At 40.3% G+C, this 24,563-nt stretch overlaps 1 long non-coding RNA gene across 1 annotated transcript, besides 7 other annotated features; it reads left to right on the top strand.

The window, feature by feature from the left end:
* Positions 3–297: a silencer, noted in NCBI's record as "tiled region #15656; K562 Repressive non-DNase unmatched - State 22:ReprW". NCBI's record gives its function as "represses a minimal TATA promoter and a strong SV40 promoter by Sharpr-MPRA in K562 cells {active_cell/tissue: K562}" and the evidence as "EXISTENCE:reporter gene assay evidence [ECO:0000049][PMID:27701403]".
* On the top strand, positions 56–4,154 carry LOC100132249 (uncharacterized). Its single transcript, NR_135128.1, has one exon. It is a non-coding gene; the product is annotated as an uncharacterized LOC100132249 (long non-coding RNA).
* Positions 88–147: a silencer, noted in NCBI's record as "silent region_19924". NCBI's record gives its function as "represses an Ori minimal core promoter by ATAC-STARR-seq in GM12878 lymphoblastoid cells {active_cell/tissue: GM12878}" and the evidence as "EXISTENCE:reporter gene assay evidence [ECO:0000049][PMID:35858748]".
* Positions 3,091–3,291: a silencer, noted in NCBI's record as "peak7249 fragment used in MPRA reporter construct". NCBI's record gives its function as "represses an SCP1 promoter by STARR-seq MPRAs in K562 erythroleukemia cells {active_cell/tissue: K562}" and the evidence as "EXISTENCE:reporter gene assay evidence [ECO:0000049][PMID:32103011]".
* Positions 4,607–5,136: an enhancer, noted in NCBI's record as "H3K27ac-H3K4me1 hESC enhancer chr9:66489090-66489619 (GRCh37/hg19 assembly coordinates)". NCBI's record gives its function as "activates a minimal SCP1, AML or CMV promoter by ChIP-STARR-seq in primed H9 embryonic stem cells {active_cell/tissue: H9 hESC(primed)}" and the evidence as "EXISTENCE:reporter gene assay evidence [ECO:0000049][PMID:30033119]".
* Positions 6,748–7,599: an enhancer, noted in NCBI's record as "H3K27ac-H3K4me1 hESC enhancer chr9:66486627-66487478 (GRCh37/hg19 assembly coordinates)". NCBI's record gives its function as "activates a minimal SCP1, AML or CMV promoter by ChIP-STARR-seq in naive H9 embryonic stem cells {active_cell/tissue: H9 hESC(naive)}" and the evidence as "EXISTENCE:reporter gene assay evidence [ECO:0000049][PMID:30033119]".
* Positions 15,036–15,595: an enhancer, noted in NCBI's record as "OCT4-NANOG hESC enhancer chr9:66478631-66479190 (GRCh37/hg19 assembly coordinates)". NCBI's record gives its function as "activates a minimal SCP1, AML or CMV promoter by ChIP-STARR-seq in primed H9 embryonic stem cells {active_cell/tissue: H9 hESC(primed)}" and the evidence as "EXISTENCE:reporter gene assay evidence [ECO:0000049][PMID:30033119]".
* Positions 22,945–23,467: an enhancer, noted in NCBI's record as "OCT4-NANOG hESC enhancer chr9:66470759-66471281 (GRCh37/hg19 assembly coordinates)". NCBI's record gives its function as "activates a minimal SCP1, AML or CMV promoter by ChIP-STARR-seq in primed H9 embryonic stem cells {active_cell/tissue: H9 hESC(primed)}" and the evidence as "EXISTENCE:reporter gene assay evidence [ECO:0000049][PMID:30033119]".

Raw genomic sequence — 24,563 nt, 5'->3', positions numbered from 1 at the left:
CAGGCGCGGAGGGGGCGCCGGCGCAGGCGTGGAGAGGCGCAGAGCAGGGCAGGTGGCACCAACAGTGGGTCCCTCAGGCCTCGAGCGCAAGCATTCCAGCAGCCACCCAGACCATGCTCCGCCGACTGGGCGCCCAAGCTGCAGTCGCCCTCTGTGTGCAGGCAGCAGCTGCCTGGCAACCCCCGAGCTCGCTCGCGCTGTCAGCATCGCAGAACTAGGGCCAGGTGTCCCAGTGGCTGCGGCCAAGCCAGGCATTCTGACCGGCGGCGGCGGCTGCACAGGAGCGAGAACTGAGAAGCCGCCGCTCAACCCCACACGGGGTGACTGCTGAGGGCCCATACCAACGGCCCCGATCTCCCTCAGGTGGAGGACTGGGCGGGAGGCACAGCCTGGGGGCCCTCAGGCTGGGCGCGCTGGCGATCCCGAGGCCGACCAGGCCATGCACCTCCAGCCCGCCTGGGCACCCAAGCTGCAGCCGCCTTCTGTGTGCAGGCAGCAACCTCCAGGCAACTCCCGAGTCCGCCCTCACTTCCCACATCTCGGAACGAGGGCCAGATGTCCGTGTGGCTGCGGCCAAGCCAGGCGGTCTGCCCTGCAGCAGCTGCACGGGGGCGGGAACCGGCCCTCAGCCCTATCCCCCGTGGCTGCAGAGGGCCCTTGGCTAGAGGTGTCGAGCTCTGGCATAGGAGGAGCCGGGCGGGGGCAGGGTCTGGCGGGCTCTCAGGCCAGGAGCACTTGCGATCCAGAGGCCGCCCAGGCCATGCTCACCACCTGGGCGCCCAGCTACAGGCGCCAGGCAACTCCCAAGCTGGCTGGCGCGCCCAGCCTCGCAGACCCGGGCCTGGATGTCGCCGTGGCTGCGGCCAAGCCAGGCGGTCTGCTCGGCGGCGGCTGCACCGGGGCAGGAACCGACCCTCAGCCCCATCCCCGGTGGCTGCGGACGGCCCCTGGAGCGGCCCCGACGTCTCTTCGGAGGAGAAGAGGGGTGGGAGTCACGGCCAGGCAGGCCCTCAGGCGGGAAGGGATGCGCGCCTGCGATTCCGGGACGTACCGCGCCAGCCCAGGAGAACCCGGAAGCCAGCAGCTCTTGTTTCTCTGTGTGTTTCTGTGAGGAACCACCAAATTGTTTTCCACGGCAAGTGCATCATTTTCTATTCCTAGCAGCCAGTTCATGAGGGCTCCAATTTCTCCACCTCCTTAGCAACATTGATTTTCTGTGTCGTTGTTATGAAAGCCTTACTAGTGGATGCAAAGTGGTATCTCATTTGGGTTTTGTCTTGCATTTTATTAATGAATAACAGTGTTTAGCATCTTTTCTTATCCGTCTTACACATTTGTGTATCTTCTTCGGAGAAATGTCTATTCAAGTCCTTTGCCTATTTTTTAATTGGGATGTTAGAAATTCTGATGTTGAGTTGTGGGATATTAAGCTTTTATCAGATACGCACTTTGATTTTATCAGATACATATTTTCTCACATACTATGGGTTGTCTTTTCACTCCCTTGATAGTATCCTTTGATGCATAAAGGTTTTTTATTTTGATTAAATCTAATTTACGTGTATTTTCTTTTGTTATCTGTGCTTTTCTGTCATATTTCAAAATACACTTAAAACTCAAAGGTCATAAAGGTTTACCTTGTGTTTTCTTCTAAGAGTTACATACTTTAGTCCTTACATGTAAGTCTTTTATTAATTTAGAATTAATTTTCGTGTATACTGCAAGGTAGGGGTCTAACTTCTCTCTTGTGCACTGACATCCAGCTGTTGAAGAGACTGTTCTTTCCTCCCTTGACTAGACTTGGACAGCTTGTTGAACAGTCATTGACCATATATGTGAGCGCTAATTTGTAGGATCTTAAATCTGTTCTATTGTATTGGTCTAAAAGTCTATTAGTCTTATGCCAGTACCACACTCTCTTGATTACTGTAGATTTGTAGTAGGCTGTGAAACTGAAAAATGTGAGTTTTCTAATATTCTTTTTCAAGACTGTTTTGTCTGTCAGATCCTTTGAATTTTTGTATGAATTGTAGAATGAGTTTCTTTCTTTCTGCAGAAATGCCTTTGGGATTTTGATGGTATTGCATTGAATCTGTAGATTACTTTAGATGGTATTGTCATCTTAACAGTATTGTCTTACAACCCGTGAACACAGAATGTCTTTCCGGTTATTTCCACTCTCTTTCGTTTTTTTCAGCAAAGTTTTGTGTATACCACCATGGTTAGATTTATGCCTGAATAACTTATTCTTTGATGCTATTATAAATGGAATTTTTAAAATATTTTCATAGTTCTTTACAACTATATAGAAATATAGCTCATTTGCCTATGTTTGTTTTGCATCCTGCCTCTTTTATTAGTTATAATCGGTTTTGTGTTTTATTTGGAGCTTTATACACATAAGATCATGTGTAGATATAATTTTACTTCTGTTTTTTATTTCTAATTTAGATGCCTTTTATTTCTTTGTCTTGCCTAATTGCTCTGGCTAAAATTGCCAGTGGTACATTGAACACAAGTGGCAAATGCACCATGCTTGTCTTGTTCTAGATGTTAGGAAAACAGCTTTCAGTGTTTCATCATTGATCATGATATTAACTGTTGGGTTTTTGTACATCCTATTGTCATGTTGCAGAAAATCCCTTCTATGCCTAGTTTATTGAGTATTTTTATTATAGAAGGGTGTTGTATTTCATCAATGTTTTCTCTGCATCAATTGAAATAATCACGTGCTTATTCATTTTACTGTTAGAGTATATTACACTGATTGATTTTTTATATGTTGAGCCACCCTTGCATTTTGGGGATAAATCTCACAGGGTGATAGTTTACAATCCTTTGATTATACAGTATTGCTGCTAGTATTTTGCTAGTATTGCTAGTATTTTGCTGAGATTTTTGCTTATATATTCATAAGGGATATTGTGCTGTAGTTCTCTTTTTGTGCTCTCTTTGGCTTTGGTATAAGGATAATGCTGTTATCAAAAAATGAATTAGCAAGTATTCCTTCTTCATATATTATGTCAGAAGAGTTTGAGAAGAAATGGTATTAATTCTTCTTTAAATGTTAGGTTGACTCACCAGTTAATGCAGCTATTTGGTCATAAATGTTTCTTTGTTAATCACTTTCGATTACTAATTCAATCTCCTAGGTTATAGGTCTATTCAGATTTTCTCTTTCTTCTTGAGCCACTTTGGTAGTTTGTGTCTTTCTAGTGATTCGTCCATTTCATCCAGGGCAGCTAATTTGTTGTTAGACAGTTGTTCACAGTATACTCCTGTAATCCTTTTGTATTTCTGTAAAGTTGGTAGTAATGGCTCTGCTTTCATTTATTATTTTAATAATTAGTCTTCCATCTTTTGCTCAGTCAATATAGTGAAAGGCTTGATCTTTCAAATAATCTATGTTTATTCATTCTACTGCTCTCCAAACTTCTATTTTATTGATTTATGCTCTAATTATGCTCTCTATTATTTCTTTCATACTGCTAGCTTTGGATTTAGTCTTATTTTGTCTTCTTCCACTGCCTTTAGGTATAGAGTGAGGATGTTGATTTCAGATTTTTCTTAAATGTAGTTGTTTATATCCATACATTTTCCTTTGAACTCTACTTTCACTGCATTCAATAAGTTTTGGTATGTTTTGTTTTTATTTTAATTTATCTCAAGATATTTTATAATTTTGCTTGTGATTTATTTTTTTCACTCACTGGTAGTTGAAGACTGTATTGTTTAATTTCCACATTTTCGTGAATTTTCCAGTTTTCACTTATTTATCTGTTGTTTCTTCCATTGTGGTTGTAAATTATATTTTGTATGATTTCAAACTTTTAAAAATGATTAGGACATATTTTGTGGACGAAGATATGGCCCATCCTAGAGAACTTCCATATACACTTGAAAGGAATGTATATTCTGCTGTTGTTGGATGGACTGTCCTGTATATGCGTATTAGCTCTCAGTGGCTTATACCGTTGTTTAACTCTTGTATTTCTCATGAAGCTTCTGTCTGGTTTTTCTATCCATTAATTAAAATGAGGTATTGAAGTGTCCAACTGTGACTATAGAACTGTGGGTTTATCCTTTCAATCCTGTTAATTATTTCAGCTTTACTGAGGTGTAATAGAGAAATAAAAATTGTACGTGATGCGTTTATATGCACATTCTGAAATGATTACCAAAACGAAGTCAATGAACATGTTAATTACCTCACAGAATAGTTACCTTTTTGTGTGCATGTGTGGGATAAGAAAACTTAACTCTATCCCCTGTGACTGCAGAGTGGCCATTCCAGCTGCTCCAGGCTCCAGCAGAGGAAGACTGGGGCAGGTGGCACCACCAGGGAGGCCCTCAGGCCTGGTGCACACGCATTCCAGAGGCCACCCAGACCATGCTCCGCCGCCTGGGTGCACAAGCTGCAGTCGCCCTCTGTGTGCAGGCAGCAGCTGCCTGGCAACCCTTGAGCCTGCTTGCGCTCCCAGTCTCGCAGAACCAGGGCCAGGTGTCCCTGTGGCTGTGGCCAAGCCAGGCATTCTGCCCGGCGGTGGCGGCTGCACAGGGGCGAGAACTGAAAACCCGCCGCTCAACCCCACACGGGGTGACTGCCGAGTGCCCATGACAGCGGCCCCGATCTCTCTCAGGTGGAGGAGTGGGTGGGAGGCACGGCCTGGGGGCCCTCAGGCTGGGCGCGCTGGCGATCCCGAGGCCGACCAGGCCATGCCCCTCCAGCCCGCCTGGGCTCCCAAGCTGCAGCCGCCTTCTGTGTGCAGGCAGCAGCCTCCAGGCAACTCCTGAGCCTGCCCACACTCCCCACATCTCGGAAGCAGGGCCAGATGTCCCTGTGGCTGCGGCCAAGCCAGGCGGTCTGCCCTGCAGCAGCTGCACGGGGGCGGGAAGCGGCCCTCAGCCCCATCCCCAGTGGCTCTAGAGGCCCCCTGGCTAGAGGTATCCAGCTCTGGCAGAGGAGGAGCCGGGCGGGGGCAGGGTCTGGCTTGACCATTTGGAATTACAATACACTTCATTCATCAACCACAGAACATACACTGGAGTATCATCTGCGTGCAGATGAGTATACTGCTCAAAGCGATTTACAGATTCAATGCTTTTCCTATCAAATTACTAATGTCATTTTGCACAAAATAGAAAACATCTAAAATTTATATGGAACCTAAAAGGAGTCTGAATAGCCAAGCCAAAGCAATACTAAGGCTAGAGACGTAGGCTAGCCAAGCCAAAGCAATACTAAGGCTAGAGACATAGGCTAGAGACATCATATTACATGACTTCAAACTATACTAGAAGACTATAGTAATCAAAACAACATGGTACTGGTAGAAAAACAGACACATAGACCAATGGAACAGACTAGAGTACTAGAAACTAAGGCCACATGCCTGCAACCATCACATCTTTAACAAAGTTGACAAAAGTAAGCAATGGGAAAAAGACTTTATTTAATAAATAATGCGGGGATAACTGGCTAGTCATATGCAGAAGAATAAAACTAGACCCCCATATTTCACCAAATACAAAAATTAGCTTAAGATGGATTAAAGAGTTAAATGAAAAAATCTCAAGCTATAAAACGCCTAGAAAAAAACCTAGGAAATACTTTTCTTGATAACGGCCTTGGCAAATAATTTATGGCTAAGTCCTCAAAAGCAATTGCAACTAAAACAAAAAATGACAAGTGGGATTTAATTAAACTGAAAAACTTTTGCACAACAAGAGAAACTATCAAGGTAGTAAAGAGATAACCCACAGAATGAAAGAAAATATTCACAAACTACGCATCTAACAGAGGTCTATTATGCAGAACCTATAAGGAACTTAAACAAATCAACAAGCAAGCAGCAAGTAACTCCATTAAAAAGTGGGCAACAGGACATGAACGGACACTTTTCAAAAGAAGACATACACACAAGCACCCAACAAACATATGTAAAAGTGCTCATCGTCATTATTTATTAGAGAAATGCAAATCAAAACTGAAATGAAATACCATTTCACACCGGTCAGAATGGCTTTTTTTGAAAAGTCAAAAGAAAAACACATATCGGTGAAGATTTAGAGAATAGAGAACACTTATACACTTTCTGAAGGAATGTAAATTAGTTCAGCCACTGTGGAAAGCAGGTTGGGGATTTCTTAAAGAACTGAGAGTTGATCTACCATTCAATCCAGTAACCCCATTACTGGGTATATACCCGAAAGAAAATAAATACCCTATCAAAAAGACACATGTAGCTATATTTTTATCACAGCAGTATTCACAATCACAAAGACATAGGCTTAATCCAGACATCCATCAGTGGTGGATTGGATAAAGACTCATGGAATACTATACAGCCAGAAAAAACTCAAAATTATGCCATTTGAAGCAACATGAATGCATTCTTTCCAGAAAACTAATGCAAAAGCAAAAAACAAAATACCGCATGTTCTCTTTCATAAGTGGGAGCTAAATGCTGGGTACACATGGTCATAATACAGAGGGGTGGGAGGGGCCGGGACTGGTGGCTCACGCCTATAATCCCAACACTTTGAGAGGCCAAGGTGAGCGGATCACCGGAGGTCAGGAGTTTGAGACCACCCTGGCCAACGTGGTGAAACCCCGCCTCTAATGAAAACACAAAAATTAACTGGGCATGGTGGCTGGCGCCTGTAATCCCAGCTACTCCGGGGTCTGAGGCGGAGAGTCGCTTGAACCCGGGGGGCGGAGGTTGTAGTGAGCCAAGATCGCGCCACATCACTCCAGCCTGGGCGACGGAGCAAAACTCTGTCTCAAAAACAAACAAACAAACAAAAAACAAAGAGGGAGGGGGGAGGGAATACAGATTGATTAAAACTACCGATTGGTTAGTGTCCTCTCTACCTTGCTAATGAATTCATTCATTTAATTCATAATTCATTCATTCAATTCATAATTCAGTTCCCCCTGAGGAAAAAATATTCACTTGTCATTAAAATCTCTCTGTATCTTACTGATTTCAGATAGAAGTTAAATTTCACCTTAATAATAGACACAAAAGAACTAGTTAAACTGACAAAAACTAATAAACGTTTGCTCAAATTTACTGAGAGAGTCATGGGTACTTCATATAATAGTGACATTCTACCAGTTTTAAGTAAAATAAATAAAAGGAAACAATCTTAACTCATCGCCTACCGGAAGGGACGTGCCCCCGCTCCCAGGTGAGTGGGACCCTGCTCTCCGGGCGGGTTGCGCCGCGGTCTCTGGCACCTCTTGTTGGCAGCGTCGCCGTTGCAGGCACAGGGCAGGTATTGGGGGGCGGGCAGCGGGCCAGGCCCAGGCGACTCCCTTGCCAGGGGCTGGGCAGGTGTGGAGAGGGGCGGAGCGGTGCTGCCCTGGGCGATGGAGCCTCCCGCTCTGGACGGTTCGCCGCCCCTGCCCCAGGAAGGCGCTGCAGGATCTGGGTGGGGAAGGGGAGGGACGAGGGAACACAGGCCAGGCCAGGTGGCCCCTTAGACCTGGGTGATGCAGGAGGGGCTGTGGGAGACCAGAGAGGACCCGAAGCAGAAACCGGGAACTGATAACTCTGGCTGAATATTTGTCCTCTTGCTGAAGTTTGAAAGTCAGTTATTTAATTAAAGTTTAATTTTATTATAAAAATAACAACTATTAAAAATTCCATGTAGTCACTGGAATGATAAATTTTGGTGCAGTTTCAGCATAACACTCTAATTATTCAAATTGCGGCCATGTTTCAAAATATATGCCATATATTTTTATGGCATCCACCCCTGTGTCCCTGTGTCCCGCATCCACCTCTGTGTCCCTGCTGGCTCAGGAAATGAGCTTCTTCCTCCTTCCACAGACTCGAATCAGGCCGTCCTCCCTCCTGCGCCTGAGGCTGTCATGGGGACAGCCTGCCCTCGAATAGCCGGAGAACGCCCGGCCTGTGCCCTGTGCTCGGCCTGGTGTCCTGGCTCGTGCCCCTCAGAGCCCCGCACAAAGCAGTGTGACAGGTGTGGAAGGACCCAGCACCAGGCAGCGGTGAGCGGATGGATGCTCCAGGGATGTGGGGCTGCTGGCAGTCAAGAACCCATTGCCAAATTCCATGGCATAATTTTGGATATTTTTCCCTTATATTTTTGTGTAAGACTTTCAGACTTACACATTTTGAGTTTTTAAAAAAATATAGTATAAACTACAATTCTGACTTCTATATTTTACATGTTGATAGCAAATCTTCATACCTTTTTTGTGTTAAAGGGGGCTATTATTCCCTCTCCATAGTTTGGCCTTTGCACCCTTGTTGAAGATCATTTTGACCATATATACAAGGTTTTGTGGAGAGAGGGGTCTCTATTATTTTCTATGTCTACACGTCTTGATTTAATACATTTCTTTTTAGATTTTCTCCTTTTTACTTTTTGAGACAGGTTCTCTGTCATCCAGGCTGGGGTGCACTGGTGCGACCATGGCTCACTGCAGACTTGCTCTCCCAGGCTTAAAAAATCCTCTCACTTCAGCCTCTGGAATAGCTGAGACTACAGGTTCATGTCACATTGCCAGGTTAATTTTAATTTTAATTGTTTTTTTAGCGATGGGTGTTCTCACTAGGATGTCCAGTGTGGTTTGAACTCCTGGGTTCAAGCAATCCTCCTACCTCAGCCTCACAAAGTGCTGAGGTTACACGTGTAAGCCATAGAACCTGGCCTCAAAATACCACATTTGAAAAGAGTTCAACAGCACTGCAATTAGTTTTTGATTTAAAAATTGTGAGGGTTCCACAATTGACATTATTTTACAAGTTTAATTGGCTATTTTCAATCTTGAGATTTCATATGTTTTAGAATTTTGTATTTCTGCAAGTAAATATTGTTATGATTTATATAGCTATTGCATTTAATCTGTTGTTGATTTCATTAGTATAGACTTAAGAATATTGTTTTCTAATTTATGAATATGGGATATCTTTTCAATTGTCTAATCTACAAATATAGAATATCTTCCCCATTGTTTGTGACTTTTCTTCAGCAACATCTTGTAACTTCTAGTATACTAGTCTTACATCTCTTTGCTTGTTTATTCCAAAGTATATTCTTCTTAATGCTATTTTCAATGGAATTTTAAAAACTTGGATTGTACCATGTAATGAAGAGAAATACACTTAATTTTGTATTCTGCAATTTTGCTAAATGCAACTATTAGTTCTAACAGGTATTGTTTTCAGCATATAGGATTTTTTGTATATAACATCATATCATAAGTAACAGGTAATTTTACTTCTTCCTTTAGAATGTGGATCTTTTCTTTTTTTCATTGCCTAGTTGTTTTGCCAGGACTTTCACTGATATTTTTGAATAGATGTGACAACAGTGAATATCTTGCCTTATTCTTAACCTTAGAGGATAAACTTTCCACACTTCAGAATTCAGTGTAATATTAGTGATGATTGTTTTTGTTTTTTTGTTTTTGTTGTTGTTTTTGTTTTTCTGAGATAGGATCTTGCTCTGTCAACCAGGCTGGAGTGCAGTGGCATGATCTGGGCTCACTGCAACCTCCACCTCCCGAGTTCAAGCTATTCTCATGCCTCAGCCTCCCTGGTAGCTGGGACTACAGGCACATACCACAAAGTCAAGCTAATGTTAATATTTTTTGTAGAGACAGGGATTCACCATGTTGGTCAGGCTGGTCTGGAACTCCTGACCTAAAATCATCCACCCACCTCAGCCACCCAAACTGCTGGGACTATAGGCATGAGCTGTTGAACACAGTTGGTGATGAGTTATTTACATATCTTTTGCTATGTTAGTTTCCTTTTATTTCTACTTTATTGAGTGTTTTTTTATCTTGAAAAGATGATTAATACTGTCAGTTGACTTTTCTGCATTATTTGAGATGATTGTGTGGTTTACATCTTTTTCTCTGTTAATGTGATATATTAAACTGATTGATTTAAACTCTCATTCCAATATAGCCAAATAGGAAGAGCTCTGGTCTGCAGCTCCCAGTGTGATCAATGCAAGATGGGTGATTTCTGCGTTTCCAACTGAGCTACCTGATTCATCTCATTGGGACTGATTGGACAGTGAGTTCATCCCATGGAGGGTGAGCTGAAGCAGGGCAGGGCATCAACTCACCCAGGAAGTGCAAGGGGTTTGGGGATTTTCCTTTCCTAGCCAAGGGAAGGCATGACAGACTGTACCTGGAAAAACAGGACACTCTTGCCCAAATACTGCACTTTTTGCACAGTCTTAGCAACTGGCAGACCAGGAGATTCTCTCCTGTGCCTGATTCATTGGGTCCCACACCCATAGGGCCTTGCTTACTGCCAGTGCAGCAGTCTGAGATTAACCTTCATGCTGCAGCTGAGCAGGTGGAGGTGAATCCACAATTTTTGAGGTTTCAGTAGGTAAACAAAGTGGCCAGGAAGCTTGAACAGGGTAGAGCCACTCACAGCTCAGCAAGGCCTACTGCCTTTATAAACTCCACCTCTGCGGGCAGGGCACAGCTGAATAAAAGGCAGCAGAAACTTCTGCAGACTTAAACCTCCCATCTGACAGCTCTGAAGAGAGCAGTGGTTCTCCTGGCATGGTGTTTGTGCTCTGAGAATGGACATACTGCCTCCTCAAATGGGTCCCTGAACCCCGTGTAGCCTAACTGGGAGACATCTCATAGTACGGGCCAACAGACACCTCATACAGGTAGGAGACCCTCTTCAACGAAGCTTCCAGGGAAGGATCAAGCAGCAATATTTGCTGTTCTGCAGCCTTCTCTGTTGATACCCAGGCAAACAGGGTCTGGAGTGGACCTCCAGCAAACTCCAACAGACCTGCAGCTGAGGGACCTGACTGTTAGAAGGAAAACTAACAAACAGAAAGGAATAGCATCAACATAAACAAAAAGGACATCCACACCAAAACCCCATCTGTAGGTTACCAACATCAAATACCAAAGATAGATAAAACCACAAAGATGGGAAGAAACCAGAACAGAAAAGCTGAAAATCCTACAAACCAGAGCATCTCTTTTCTTCCAAAGGATTGCAGCTCCTCACCAGCAATGGAACAAAGCTGGAGGGAGAGTGACTTTGATGAGTTGACAGAAGGAGGCTTCAGAAGGCTGGTAATAACAAACTTCTCCAAGCTAAAAGAGCATGTTTGAACACATCGCAAGGAAGCTAAAAACCTTGAAAAAAGGTCAGACAATGGCTAACTAGAATAAACAGTGTAGAGAATACCTTAAATGACCTTATGGAGCTGATAACCATGGCACAAGAACTCTGTGACACATGCACAAGCTTCAATAGCTGATTCAATCCAGTGGAAGAAAGGATATCAGTGATCGAAGATCAAATTAATAAAATAAAGTGAGAAGACAAGTTTAGAGTAAAAAGAGTGAAAAGAAATGAACAAAGCCTCCAGGAAAAATGGGACTATGTGAAAAGACCAAATCTATGTTTGCTTGGTGTACCTAAATGTGACAGAGAGAATGGAACCAAGTTGGAAAACACTCCTTAGGATGTTATTCAGGAGAATTTTCCCAATGTAGCAAGGCAGGCCAGCATTCAAATTCAGGAAATACAGACAACACCACAAAGTTACTTCTGGATAAGAGCAACCCCAAGATACTAATTGTCAGATTCACCAGGGTTGAAATGAAGGAAAAAATGTTAAGGGCAGCCAGAGAGAAAGGTCGGGTTACCCACAAGGGGAAACCCATCAGACTAATAGCAGATCTCTCAGCAGAAACCCTAGAAGCCAGAAGAGAGTGGGGGTCAATATTCAACATTCTTAAAGATAAGAATTTTCAGCCCAGAATTTCATATCCAGCTAAACTAAGCTTCATAAGTGAGGGAGAAGTAAAATCCTTTACAGACAAGCAAATGCTGAGAGATTTTGAGACCTCCTGGCCTGCCTTAAAAGAGCTCCTGAAGGAAGCACTAAGCGTGGAAAGGAACTACCAGTACCAGCCACTGCAAAAAATATGCCAAATTGTAAAGACCATCGATACTATGAAGAAGCTGCATCAATTAACAGGAAAAACAGTGAGCTAACATAACAATGACAGGATCAAATTCACACATAACAGTATTGACCTTAAATGTAAATGGGCTAAATGACTCAATAAAAAGACATAGACTGTCAAATTGGATAAAGAGTCAAGACCCATCAGTGTGCTGTATTCAGGAGACCCATCTCACATGCAGAGACACACATAGGCTCAAAATAAAGGGATGGAGGAAGATCTACCAAGAAAATGGAAAGCAAAAAAATTAAAAATTAAAAAAAAGCAGGGGTTGCAATCCTAGTCTCTGATAAAACAGAATTTAAACCAACAAAGATCAAAAGACACAAAGAAGGCCATTACATAATGGTAAAAGGATCAATTCAGCAAGAAGCGCTAACTACCCTAAATATATATGCACTCAATACAGGAGCACCCAGATTCGTAAAGTAAGTCCTTAGATACCTACAAACAGACTTAGACTCCCACACAATAATAATGGGAGACTTTAACACTCCACTGTCAATATTAGACAGATCAACAAGACAGAAGGTTAACAAGGATATCCAGAACTTGAACTCAGCTCTGCACCAAGTGGACCTAATAGAAATTTACAGAATTCTCCACCCCGTATCACCAGAATAAACATTCTTCTCAGCACCACATCGCAGTTATTCTAAAATTGATCACATAATTGGAAGTAAGCACTCCTCATCAAATGTAAAAGAACAGACATCACAACAAACTGTCTCTCAGATCACAGTGCAATCAAATTAGAACTTAGAATTAAGAAACTCACTCAAAATGGCCCAAACACATGGAAACAGAACAACCTGCTTCTGAATGGCTACTGGGCAAATAACGAAATGAAGGCAAAAATAAAGATGTTCTTTGAAACCAGTGAGAACAAAGACAAAAAACACCAGAATCTCTGGGACACATCTAAAGCAGTGTGCAGAGGGAAATTTATAGCACTAAATGCCCACAAGAGAAAGCAGGAAAGATCTAAAATTGACAGCCCCACATCACAATTAAAAGAACTAGAGAAACAGGAGCAAACAAATTCAAAAACAAGCAAAAGGCAAGAAAGATCAGAGCAGAACTAAAGGAGATAGAGACACAACAAACCCTTAAAAAATCAATGAATTTAGGAGCTGATTTTTTGAAAGATCAACAAAATTGATAGACCACTAGCAAGACTAATAAAGAAGAAAAAAGACAAGAATCAAATAGACACAATAAAAAAAGATAAATGGTATATCATCACTGATCCCACAGAAATACAAACTACCATCAGAGAATACTATAAACTCCTCTACACAAATAAACTAGAAAATCTAGAAGAAATGGATAAATTCCTGGACACATACACCCTCCCAAGATTAAACCAGGAAGAAGTTGAATCTCTGAATAGACCAATAACAGGATCTGAAAATTGAGGCAATAATTAATAGCATACCAACAAAAAAATATCCAGGACCAGATGGATTCACAGCTGAATCCTACCAGAGGTACAAAAAGGAGCTGGTACCATTCCTTCTGAAACTATTCCAATCAATAGAAAAAGAGGAAATCCTCCCTAATTCATTTTATGGGACCAGTATCATCCTGATACCAAACCCTGGCAGAGACAAAACAAAAAAAAAGAGAATTTTAGACCAATATCCTTGATGAACATCGATGTGAAAATCCTCAATAAAATACTGGCAAATGGAATCCAGCAGCATATCAAAAAGCTTATCCACCACGATCAAGTAGTCTTCATCCCTGGAATGCAAGGCTGGTACAACATACACAAATTAATAAATGTAATCCATCATATAAACAGAATCAATGACAAAAACCACATGACTGTCTCCATAGATATAGAAAAGGCCTTTGACAAAATTCAACAGTCTTTCCTGCTAAAAACTCTCAATAAACTACATATTGATGAAATGTATCTCAAAATAATAACAGCTATTTATGACAAACCCACAGCCAGGGCAATCAGGCAAGAGAAAGAAACAAAGGTATTCAATTAGGAAGTCAAATTATCTCTGTTTGCAGATGACATGATTGTATATTTAGAAAACCCCATCGTCTCAGCCCAAAATCTCCTTAAGCTGATAAGAACTTTAGCAAAGTCTCAGGATAAGAAATCAATATGCAAAAATCACAAGAATTTCTATACACCAATAACAGACAAACAGAGAGCCAAATCATGAGTGAGCTCCCATTGACAATTGCTACAAAGAGAATAAAATACCTTGGAATACATCTTACAAGGGATGTGAACGACCTCTTCAAGGAAAACTACAAATCACTGCTCAACAAAATAAAAGAGGACACAAACAAATGGAAGAACATTCCATGCTCATGGATAGGAATAACCAATATTGTGAAAATGGTCATACTGCCCTAGGTAATTTACAGATACAATGCCATCCCCATCAAGCTACGAATGACTTTCTTCACAGAATTAGAAAATACTACTTTAAAGTTCATATGGAACCAAAAAAGAGCCCATATCGCCAAGACAATCTAAGCAAAAAGAACAAAGCTGGAGGCATCACACTATTTGACTTCAATCTATACTACAAGGCTACAGTAACCAAACAGCATGGTACCGATATCAAAACAGATCTATAGACCAATGGAACAGAACAGAGGCCTCAGAAATAACACCACACATCTACAACCATCTGATCTTTGAAAAACCTGACAAAAACAAGCAATGGAGAAAGGATTCCCTATTTAATAAATGGTGCTGGGAAAACTAGCTAGTCATAGGTAGAAAGCTGAAACTGGATCCCTTCCTTACACCTTATACACAAATTAATTCAACAGGGATTAAAGGCTTAAATGTTAGGCCTAAAACCATAAAAACCCTAGAAGAAATCCTAGGCTACATCATTCAGGTCATAGGCATGGGCAAAGATTTCATGACTAAAATACCAAAAACAATGGCAACAAAAGCCAGAATAGACAAATCAGATCTAATTAAACTAAAGCGCTTCTGCACAGTAAGAGAAACTACCAACAGCATGAACAGACAACCTACAGAATGGGAGAAAATTGTTGGCAATCTATCCATCTGACAAAGGGCTAGTATCCAGAATCTACAAAAAACTTAAACAAATTTACAAGAAAAAAACACCATCAAAAATTGGGCAAAGGATATGGACAGACACTTCTCAAAAGAAGACATCTATGCAGCCAACAGACACATGAGAAAATGCTCATCATCAATGGTCATCAGAGAAATGCAAATCAAAACCACAGTGAGATACAATCTCACGCCAGTTAGAATGGTGATTATTTGAAAGTCAGGAAACAACAGATGCTGGAAAGCATGTGGAAAAATAGGAAGGCTTTTACACTGTTGGAGGGATTGCAAATTAGTTCCACCACTGTGGAAGACAGTGTGGCCATTCCTCCAGGATCTAGAACTAGAAATACCATCTGACCCAGCAATCCCATTACTGGGCATATACCCAAAGGATTATAAATCATGCCACTATAAAGACACAAGCACATGTATGTTTATTGCAGCACTATTCACAATAGCAAAGACTTGGAACCAACCCAAATGTCCATCAATGATAGAACTGATTAAGAAAATGCAGCACATATACACCATGGAATAGTACACAGCCATAAAAACAGATGAGTTTTTGTCCTTTGCGGGGACTTGGATGAAGCCAGAAACCATCATTTTCAGCAAACTATCACAAGGACAGATAACCAAACACCACATGTTCTCACTCATAGGTGGGAATTTACCAATGAGAACACTTGGACACAAGGCAGGTAACATCACACAATGGGGCCTGTCAGGGGCTGGAGGGCTAGAGGAGAGATAGCAGTAGGAGAAATATCTAATGTAAATGATGAGTTGATAGGTGCAGCAAAACAACATGGCACATGTAAACCTATGTAACAAACCTGCATGTTGTCCACATGTACCCTAGAACTTAAAGTATAATAAAAAAATAAAAAACAAATAGATTGATTTACACGTGTTGAACAATACTTTCATTGGAGAGATAACTCCTTCTTCGTCATGGTGTATAATCCTTGCAATATGTTATTGAATTTGGTGTTCTAATGTTCCGAGGAGAATTTTTACATCAATAGTCAACAGGAAAATTGATTTGTAGTTGTATTTTTTTTTCTCCTTAGTGTCTTTGTGGGGTTTGGTGTTGTGTTAATGCTGGGCTCATAAAATAAGTTGGAAATTGTTTTATCTTTTTCATTTTTCTGAAGTAGTTTAAGAAGGGTTGGTGTTAACCCTGCTTTAACATTTTGAAAAAAATATGTATTTAATGAAGTGATCCGGGCCTGGGCTTTTTGAGGGGAGGTTGTTGTTACTACTTATATGCCTATTCAGATTTTTTTATGGTTTATTTTTAGTATAATCTGTATTTCTAGACATTTGTCTATTTCTCTTAGCTTATCATATTTTTTGGCATATACTTGGAATTAAACTTTTATAATCTCTTCTTTTCCTACTTTTGTGGCATCAGTAGTAATAGCTCCTCTTTTATTTATGAATTTAATTATTTGAGGTATCTTCTTTTTTCTTTTAATCTGTTTGTCGGTTTTCTTAATCTTTTCAATAAAACCAAACTTTAATTGATTTTTCTATGGCTTTTAATTGTTATTTATTTATAACTGCTGAAATTCTTATTCTTTACTGATGTTTGATTACATTTACTAGTTGATTTAGATAGATTTTTTAAATGTACACATTTACTACTACAATTGAATACAAGCTTTAGATGCATTCAATAATTTTGTTATGCTTTGTCTCCAGTTATGTTGAAATTTTCACTGTGATTTCTTCTTTAACCCATAATGTTGTTTAGGAGCATGTTACTTGATTTTTATGTATTTGCAAATTTTTAAATTTTTCTTCTGGTATTCACTTCTAGTTCCATTCCATTTTAGTTGTAAATGATACTTCGTATGATTTTAATTTTCTTGAATTGATTTCTTTGTGGTCCGATTTGTGATATAGTCTCAAGAATGTTCCATGTGCACACCAGAATCATGCGCATTCTGTTGTTGAGAAGACCGTTTCTAAAAGTCTGTTGGATTTGGTGGAATCACTCCTTGCTCAATCCTCTGTCTTCATTTGGTCTCCCAGGTTGTCCTCTCCATTATTAAAGTCTCCTATCATTTTGGTGGTGGTCTCTATTCCTCCCTTTATTTTTATTTATAATTTTGTTTCTTACGCAGACGAAGTGTTGCTATCTTGCCCAGGTTAGTCTCAAATCCTGGGCTCAAGCCATCCTCCTGCCTCTGCCCCCGCCAAGATGCAGGGATTACAAGCAGGCGTGAGCCACTGTACTCAGCCTATTTCTCCTTTTAATTCTGTCATTATTTGTGTTATGTGTTTGGAATAGTTGCTGATTCATGTGCATATTTTAATTATGGTATCTTCTTGGAGATTTATTTTTATTATATAATGTCCTTGTTTGTCTTTATGACAGTTTTTTGCTTAAAGTCTAATCATCTAATGTAAATGTGACCCACTTTGTTCTATTTTGGTTGCTATTTAGGATGATTTGGTTACCATATAGAATATAATTTTCCATCCCTGCACTTTCATTCCATGTTTATCCTTAAATAAACATAATTTATTTGATTTTATATTTTTATTTTTATAAACAATTTATAAACAGAATTCATTCGATTTTATATTTTTATTTCTTCAGTGACCTTCTGTCTGTTATTGGAGAATTTAACATTGTTACATATAAGGTTATTATTTGCAGTTAAGGAGTTACTACTGCCATTTTGTTAATAGTATTGTGTTTCTTTTGTAGTTCTTTTGTTTATTTATTTTATTTCTTGCTGTATTCCTTTTTGTCTAATTTTTGTACTAATATGTTTTTATTTCTTTTTCTTTTGTATACATTCTACATGTATTATCTTTGTGATTACTATACAGGTGACATGAAACGTCTCAAAGTTATAACAATCTAGTTTAATCTGATGTTATCTCAGTAGCATATAAAAACTCCAGTCTTTTACATGACTGTCTTTCCCAACACTCATGTTGTTCTTGATGTCACAAATTAGGCCTTTTTACATGATGTATTCTTTAACATACATATAAAATATTTTTGTATATTGGTGTCAAATACTATAAGGGGATTGAAATTACTTACCAACATCACAATAATACAGGATGCTATATTTCTCTATATATTTGCTTTACAACAGAGCTTTATAGTATTCTATGGCTTTTTTGGTACTCTCATTTTTTAATCTCAAAGGACTTTCTAGCATTTCTTGAAGAACAAACCTAGCGGTCATAAACTCCTTCATAGTGGTCATAATAAAGGGTATTCAGTTAGGGAAAGAAGAAGTCAAATTGTCCCTATTTGCAGATGACATGATTGTATATCTAGAAAACCCCATCGTCTCAGCCCAAAATCTCCTTAAGCTGATAAGCAACTTCAGCAATGTCTCAGGATACAAAATCAATGTACAAAAATCACAAGCATTCTTGTACACCAACAACAGGCACACAGCCAAATCATGAGTGAATTCCCATTCACAATTGCTTCAGAGAGAATAAAATACCTAGGAATCCAACTTACAAGGGATGTGAAGGACCTCTTCAAGGAGAACTACAAATCACTGCTCAATGAAATAAAAGAGGATACAAACAAATGGAAGAACATTCCATGCTCATGGGTAGGAAGAATCAATATCATGAAAATGGCCATACTGCCCAAGGTAATTGATAGATTCAATGTCATCCCCATCAAGCTACCAATGACTTTCTTCACAGAATTGGAAAAAAACTACTTTAAAGTTCATATGGAACAAAAAAGGGCCCACATTGCCAAGTCGATCGTAAGCCAAAAGAACAAAGCTGGAGGCATCATGCTACCTGACTTCAAACTATACTACAAGGCTACAGTAACCAAAACAGCATGGTACTGGTACCAAAACAGAGATGTAGACCAATGGAACAGAACAGAGCCCTCAGAAATAATGCTGCATATCTACAACTATCTGATCTTTGACAAACCTGACAAAAACAAAAAATGGGGAAAGGATTCCCTACATAATAAATGATGCTGGGAAAACTGGCTAGCCATATGTAGAAAGCTGAAACTGGATCGCTTCCTTACACCTTATACACAAATTAATTCAAGATGGATTAAAGACTTAAATGTTAGATCTAAAACCATAAAAACCCTAGAAGAAAACCTAGGCAATACCATTCAGGACATAGGCATCGGCAAGGACTTCGTGTCTAAAACACCAAAAGCAATGGCAACAAAAGCCAAAATTGACAAATGGGATCTAATTAAACTAAAGAGCTTCTGCACAGCAAAAGAAACTACCATCAGAGTGAATAGGCAACCTACAGAATGGGGGAAAAATTTTCCAATCTACTCATCTGACAAAGGGCTAATATCCAGAGTCTGCAATGAACCCAAACAAATTTACAAGAAAAACCCAAACAACCCCATCAAAAACTGGGTGAAGGATATGAACAGACACTGCTCAAAAGAAGACATTTATGCAGCCAAAAGACACATGAAAAAATGTTCATCATCACTGGCCATCAGAGAAATGCAAATCAAAGCCACAATGAGATACCATCTCATACCAGTTAGAATGACGATCACTAAAAAGTCAGGAAACAACATGTGCTGGAGAGGATGTAGAGAAATAGGAACACTTTTACACTGTTGGTAGGACTGTAAACTAGTTCAACCATTGTGGAAGTCAGTGTGGCAATTCCTCAGGGATCTAGAACTAGAAATACCGTTTGACCCAGCCATCCCATTACTGGGTATATACCCAAAGGACTATAAATCATGCTGCTATAAAGACACATGCACACGTATGTTTATTGCAGCACTATTCACAATAGCAAAGACTGGGAACCAACACAAATGTCCAACAATGATAGACTGGATTAAGAAAATGTGGCACATATACACCATGGAATACTATGCAGCCATAAAAAATGATGAGTTCATGTCCTTTGCAGGGACATGCAGGAAGCTGGAAACCATCATTCTCAGCAAACTATCACAAAGACAAAAAACCAAACACCCGCATGTTCTCACTTATAGGTGGGAATTGAACAATGAGAACACGTGGACACAGGAAGGGGAACATCACACACCAGGGACGGTTGAGGGGTGGGGGGATGGGGGAGGGATAGCATTAGGAGATATACCTGATGCTAAATGACTAGTTAATGGGTGCAGCACACCAACATGTCACGTGTATACATATGTAACAAACCTGCACGTTGTGCACATGTACTCTATAACTTAAAAGTATAATAAAAAAAAGAAACAAGCAAAACAACTAATAAAAACTCTATACTGCCATTCTTTTCAACTTTTTGTTGTTTCTCTTCATTCCCTATTTTACAGTCTATGTATTGGAAATAAATACATTGTAGTTATTATTTTTATTGGTTTATTGTTTACTCTTTCTATTTGAGATTTTTGCACCCCATAATTACCATATTATAATATTCAGTGTTTTTCCATGTGCTATTGCTAGTGAGTTGTGTACCTTCAGATGATTTCTTATTGCTCACTAACTTGTTTTCTTTTAGATTAAGATATCCCTTAAGCATTTCTTGTAGGACAGGTCTGGTGTTAATGAAATCCCTCAGTTTTTGTTTGTTGGAAAAAGTTCTTATTTTTCCGTCAAGTTTAAAGGACGTTTTTGCCAGATACATTATTCTAAAGTAAAAGTCTTTTTTTCCTTCAGTTTTTTAATATGTCATGCCAATCTCACAGCCTGTAAATTTTCCCCTGAAAAGTCTGCTGTCAGATGTATTGGAGTTCCGCTGAATGTTATTTGTTTCTCTTCTCTCGATGCTTTTAGAATCATTTCTTTATCCTTAACCTTTGGGAGTTCAGTTTAGTGCCTTGAGGTGGTCTTCTTTGGGTTAAATCTGCTTTATATTCTGTAACTTTCTGTTACCCGAATGTTGATATCAAATGTTGAGGAATTGTTTAATATTATTTAATATTATTTATTTAAATAAATATTCAACTCATCTCTTTTTCTACCTCCTCTTTAAGGCCAATAACTCTTAGATTTGCTATTTTGAGGCTATTTTTAAAATTCTATAGGCATGCTTTATTTTTTATTCCTTTTTGTCTCCTCTGACTTTGTATTTTTAAATAGTCTGGCTTCAAGTTCACTAAATCTATCTTCTCCATGGTCAATTCTTTTAAGTAATTCTGATCCATTCTTCAGTATGACAATAGCATTTTAACCTCAGAATTTCTACTTTATTCTTTTTATTTCAATCTCATTGTTAAATTTATCTGATAGAATTTTGAATTCCTTCTCTGTGTTACATTGTACATTTCTTTGAATTACCTCAACCAGTTATTTTGGATTTCCTGTATGAAAGGTCACATATCTTTGTTTTTCCAGGATTTGTCCCTGGTACTTTATTTAGCTTGTTTGGTGAGGTCATGTTTTCCTGGATGGCCTTGATACTTGTAGATATTCATCTGTATCTGGGCATTGAAGAATTCAATCTTTATTGTAGTCTTCACAGTCTGGGCTTGCTAGTGCCCATTATCTTTGGGAACACTTTCCAGGTATTCAAAGAAACTTGGGTCCCAAACCCAATAGCACAGTAGTTTATGCAAACACGTAGAGGTAGTGCCTTGGTGGCCTTGGATTAACATCAAGAAAAATTCTCTTGATTTATCAAGTAGAGACTCTTGTTCTCTTCCCTTACTTTCTCTCAAATCAGCAGTCTCTCTTTCTGTGCTGAGACATGTGGAGCTGGGGTTGGGGTAACAGAAGAACTCCTGTGGCAGCCACCACTGAGACTGTGCTGGCTCACACCTGAAGTAGGCACAGAACTTGGTCTCACCCAAGGCCCACTGCAACCACTACTTGGCTACCATATAAGTTTATTCAAAGCCCCAGGACTCTGTGATTAATAGTTGGCAATGCCAGCCAGGTTTGTGTCTCTGCCTATAGGGTTGAAAGTTCCCCTAGCCATGAGTGGGTCCACAGATGCTACCTGGGAGCCAGAGATTAAAGCATAGAATCTTCAAAATTTAGCTGCTCTTCTATTTTATTGTAGCTAACCTGGCACTTAGGGAATAAGACAAAGTATTTTCTACTCTTCTTTCCCCTCTCTGCAGGCAGAAGAGCTTCTTCTATGACTGCCCACACTACTGGCCCATGGGGGGTTTCCACCAAATCATCATCACTTTCTCACTTAAAGCCCAAGGACTCTTTAGTTAGCTTGTGATAAATTCTGCAATGCCTGGGACTCGACCTTTGGCCCAGGGCAAGTGCAGAAATGCTGACCAAGAAGACCCTAGGCCTGGACTCAAGGACTCTAAGAATCTGCTTGGTGATCTACCCCACTGTGGTTGAGCTGGTATACCAGGTGCAATGTAGAGTTCCCTTTACTTTCCCCCCTGCCTTTCTCAAACAGAAGTCTTTCACCATAGCTACCACAGCTAGAAATGTACTGGGTCACACCTGAACTTAGCACTTCTCAGATCCCAATGCCCATGGTGTATTACCTGGTTGTCACTGTTTTTTATTCTGGGTACAGGGGTTCTTTAGTCAGCAGGTGATGAATTCTGCCAGGTCTTTACTGACATAGCAGCACTGAGTTTGATGTAAAGTCCTCCAGTCACTGTGCTCTCCCTCTCCCAAATTCACAGGTTTCTGTGTGTTGTGTGGCTGCTGCTAGGTGGGGGGTGGGGGAGTGGTGTTGTGAGCACTCCCTTAGTTGCTCTGGCTGCTGTCTTGGTAGACCCCATACTCCCCACCCTCCACATTCCACTGGCTCTGAGCCCAGCTTGGAATAAGACTTGCCTAATAATTGAAGTCCTTGTGGCCTAGACTGCCCCTTAAGTTCTCTTAGAGTCCAATAGCACGTCAACTCATGATGGCAAGACTTGTAAAAACTCAAGCTCCCAACACTAGGATGGGAGGTTTTCCTCTTTCTAGGGCCAATACACATGCTCCTTCCATTGGCAGATGTCAGCTGAGTACAGTCTGGTTCTGCTTTTCACTGTGACAGGGTAGTACTGAGTTTATTGCAAAGCCTCACAAACTATGCGCTCCCTCTCCCAAACATACTATCTCTGCACGATGTAGCCACTAGTGGTGGTTGAAAAAGAGGTGGCATCCATGCTTCTAAACCGTCTTTTATTTTTTTGTCTTCTCCAATGTCTGTTTCAGTGATATGAAGTTAATACCAGGTACTGTGATTGCTCACCCAATTTTTGGTCCCTTTGACAGTGCTTCTTGAATGTAGTTAGTTGTGAAAATTTGGTGTTTTCGTGTGGTGGATGAGAATGTAGGCTTCTATTCTGCCCTCTTACTCTGTCTCTGCCTTAAATTTTTTAGATTCAGGGAGTATATTTGCAGGTTTATTACATGGATATATTGTGTGATGCTGAGCAATGTGGGATATTATTGATCCCATCACCAAGGTAGTGAGCATATATTGTGGGATATAATTGATCCCATCACCTAGGCAGTAAGCATAGCACCTATGGTTTTTCACCCTCTGCCCTCCTCCTTCCCTCATTCACCTGGTAGTTCTCAGTGTCTATTGTTGTCATCTTTATATTCATGAGTACCCCATGTTTAGATCCTACTTATAGGCAAGAACATATGGTATTTGGTTTTCTGTTCCTGTATTAATTTCCTTATGATAATGGCCTCCAGACGTATGCATGTTACTGCACAGGACATAATTGTATTCTTTTTAATGTGTGCATAGTGTTTTATGGCGTATATGTGGCACATATTTCTATCCAATTTATTGATTCACACATAAGTTAATTCCATGCCTTCCCTATTGTGAATAGAATATGACTCATATACAAGTGCATGTGGGGTTTCTTTTTTGTGGAATTCTTAATTTTCTTTTGGATATATACTCAGTAATGGAATTGCTGGTTGAATGGCACTTCTGTTTTAAATTCTTTGAAAAATCTCCAAACTGCTTTTCACAGTGGCTGAACTAATTTACATTCTCACCAACAGTGTATAAGCATTTCATTTTCTCTGAAGTCTAACCAGAATTTGTCATTTTTTTACTTTTTAATAGTAGCCATTCTGACTAATATGAGATGGTATCTCTCATTGACTTGCATTTCTCTGATGATTAGTGATGTTGGACATTAGGAAAACAACCCCATTAAAACATTGACAAGGGACATAAGCAGACACTTCTCAAAAGAAGACGAGCCAGGCACAGTGGCTCACGCCTGTAATCCCAGCACTTTGGGAGGCCAGGGTGGGGGGATCACAGGGTCAGGAGATCGAGACCATCCTGGCTAACACGGTGAAACCCTGTCTCTACAAAAAATACAAAAAATTAGCCGGGCGTGGTGGTGGGCGCCTGTAGTCCCAGCTACTCGGGAGGCTGAGGCAGGAGAATGGCATCTACCCGGGAGGCAGAGCTTGCAGTGAGCCAAGATTGCACCACTGCACTCCAGCCTGGGCGACAGAGCGAGACTCCGTCTCAAAAAAAAAAAAAAAAAAAAAAAGATACAGAAGTGGGATTCTTATTCTATCACATTAAGCTGCCTTTCCTTTGCAAATACAA

The sequence above is a fragment of the Homo sapiens genome, chromosome 9 (assembly GCF_000001405.40).
Source record: "Homo sapiens chromosome 9, GRCh38.p14 Primary Assembly".
NCBI classification, from domain to species: Eukaryota; Metazoa; Chordata; class Mammalia; order Primates; family Hominidae; genus Homo; species Homo sapiens.
This window is presented reverse-complemented; position numbering and strand designations above follow the sequence as displayed.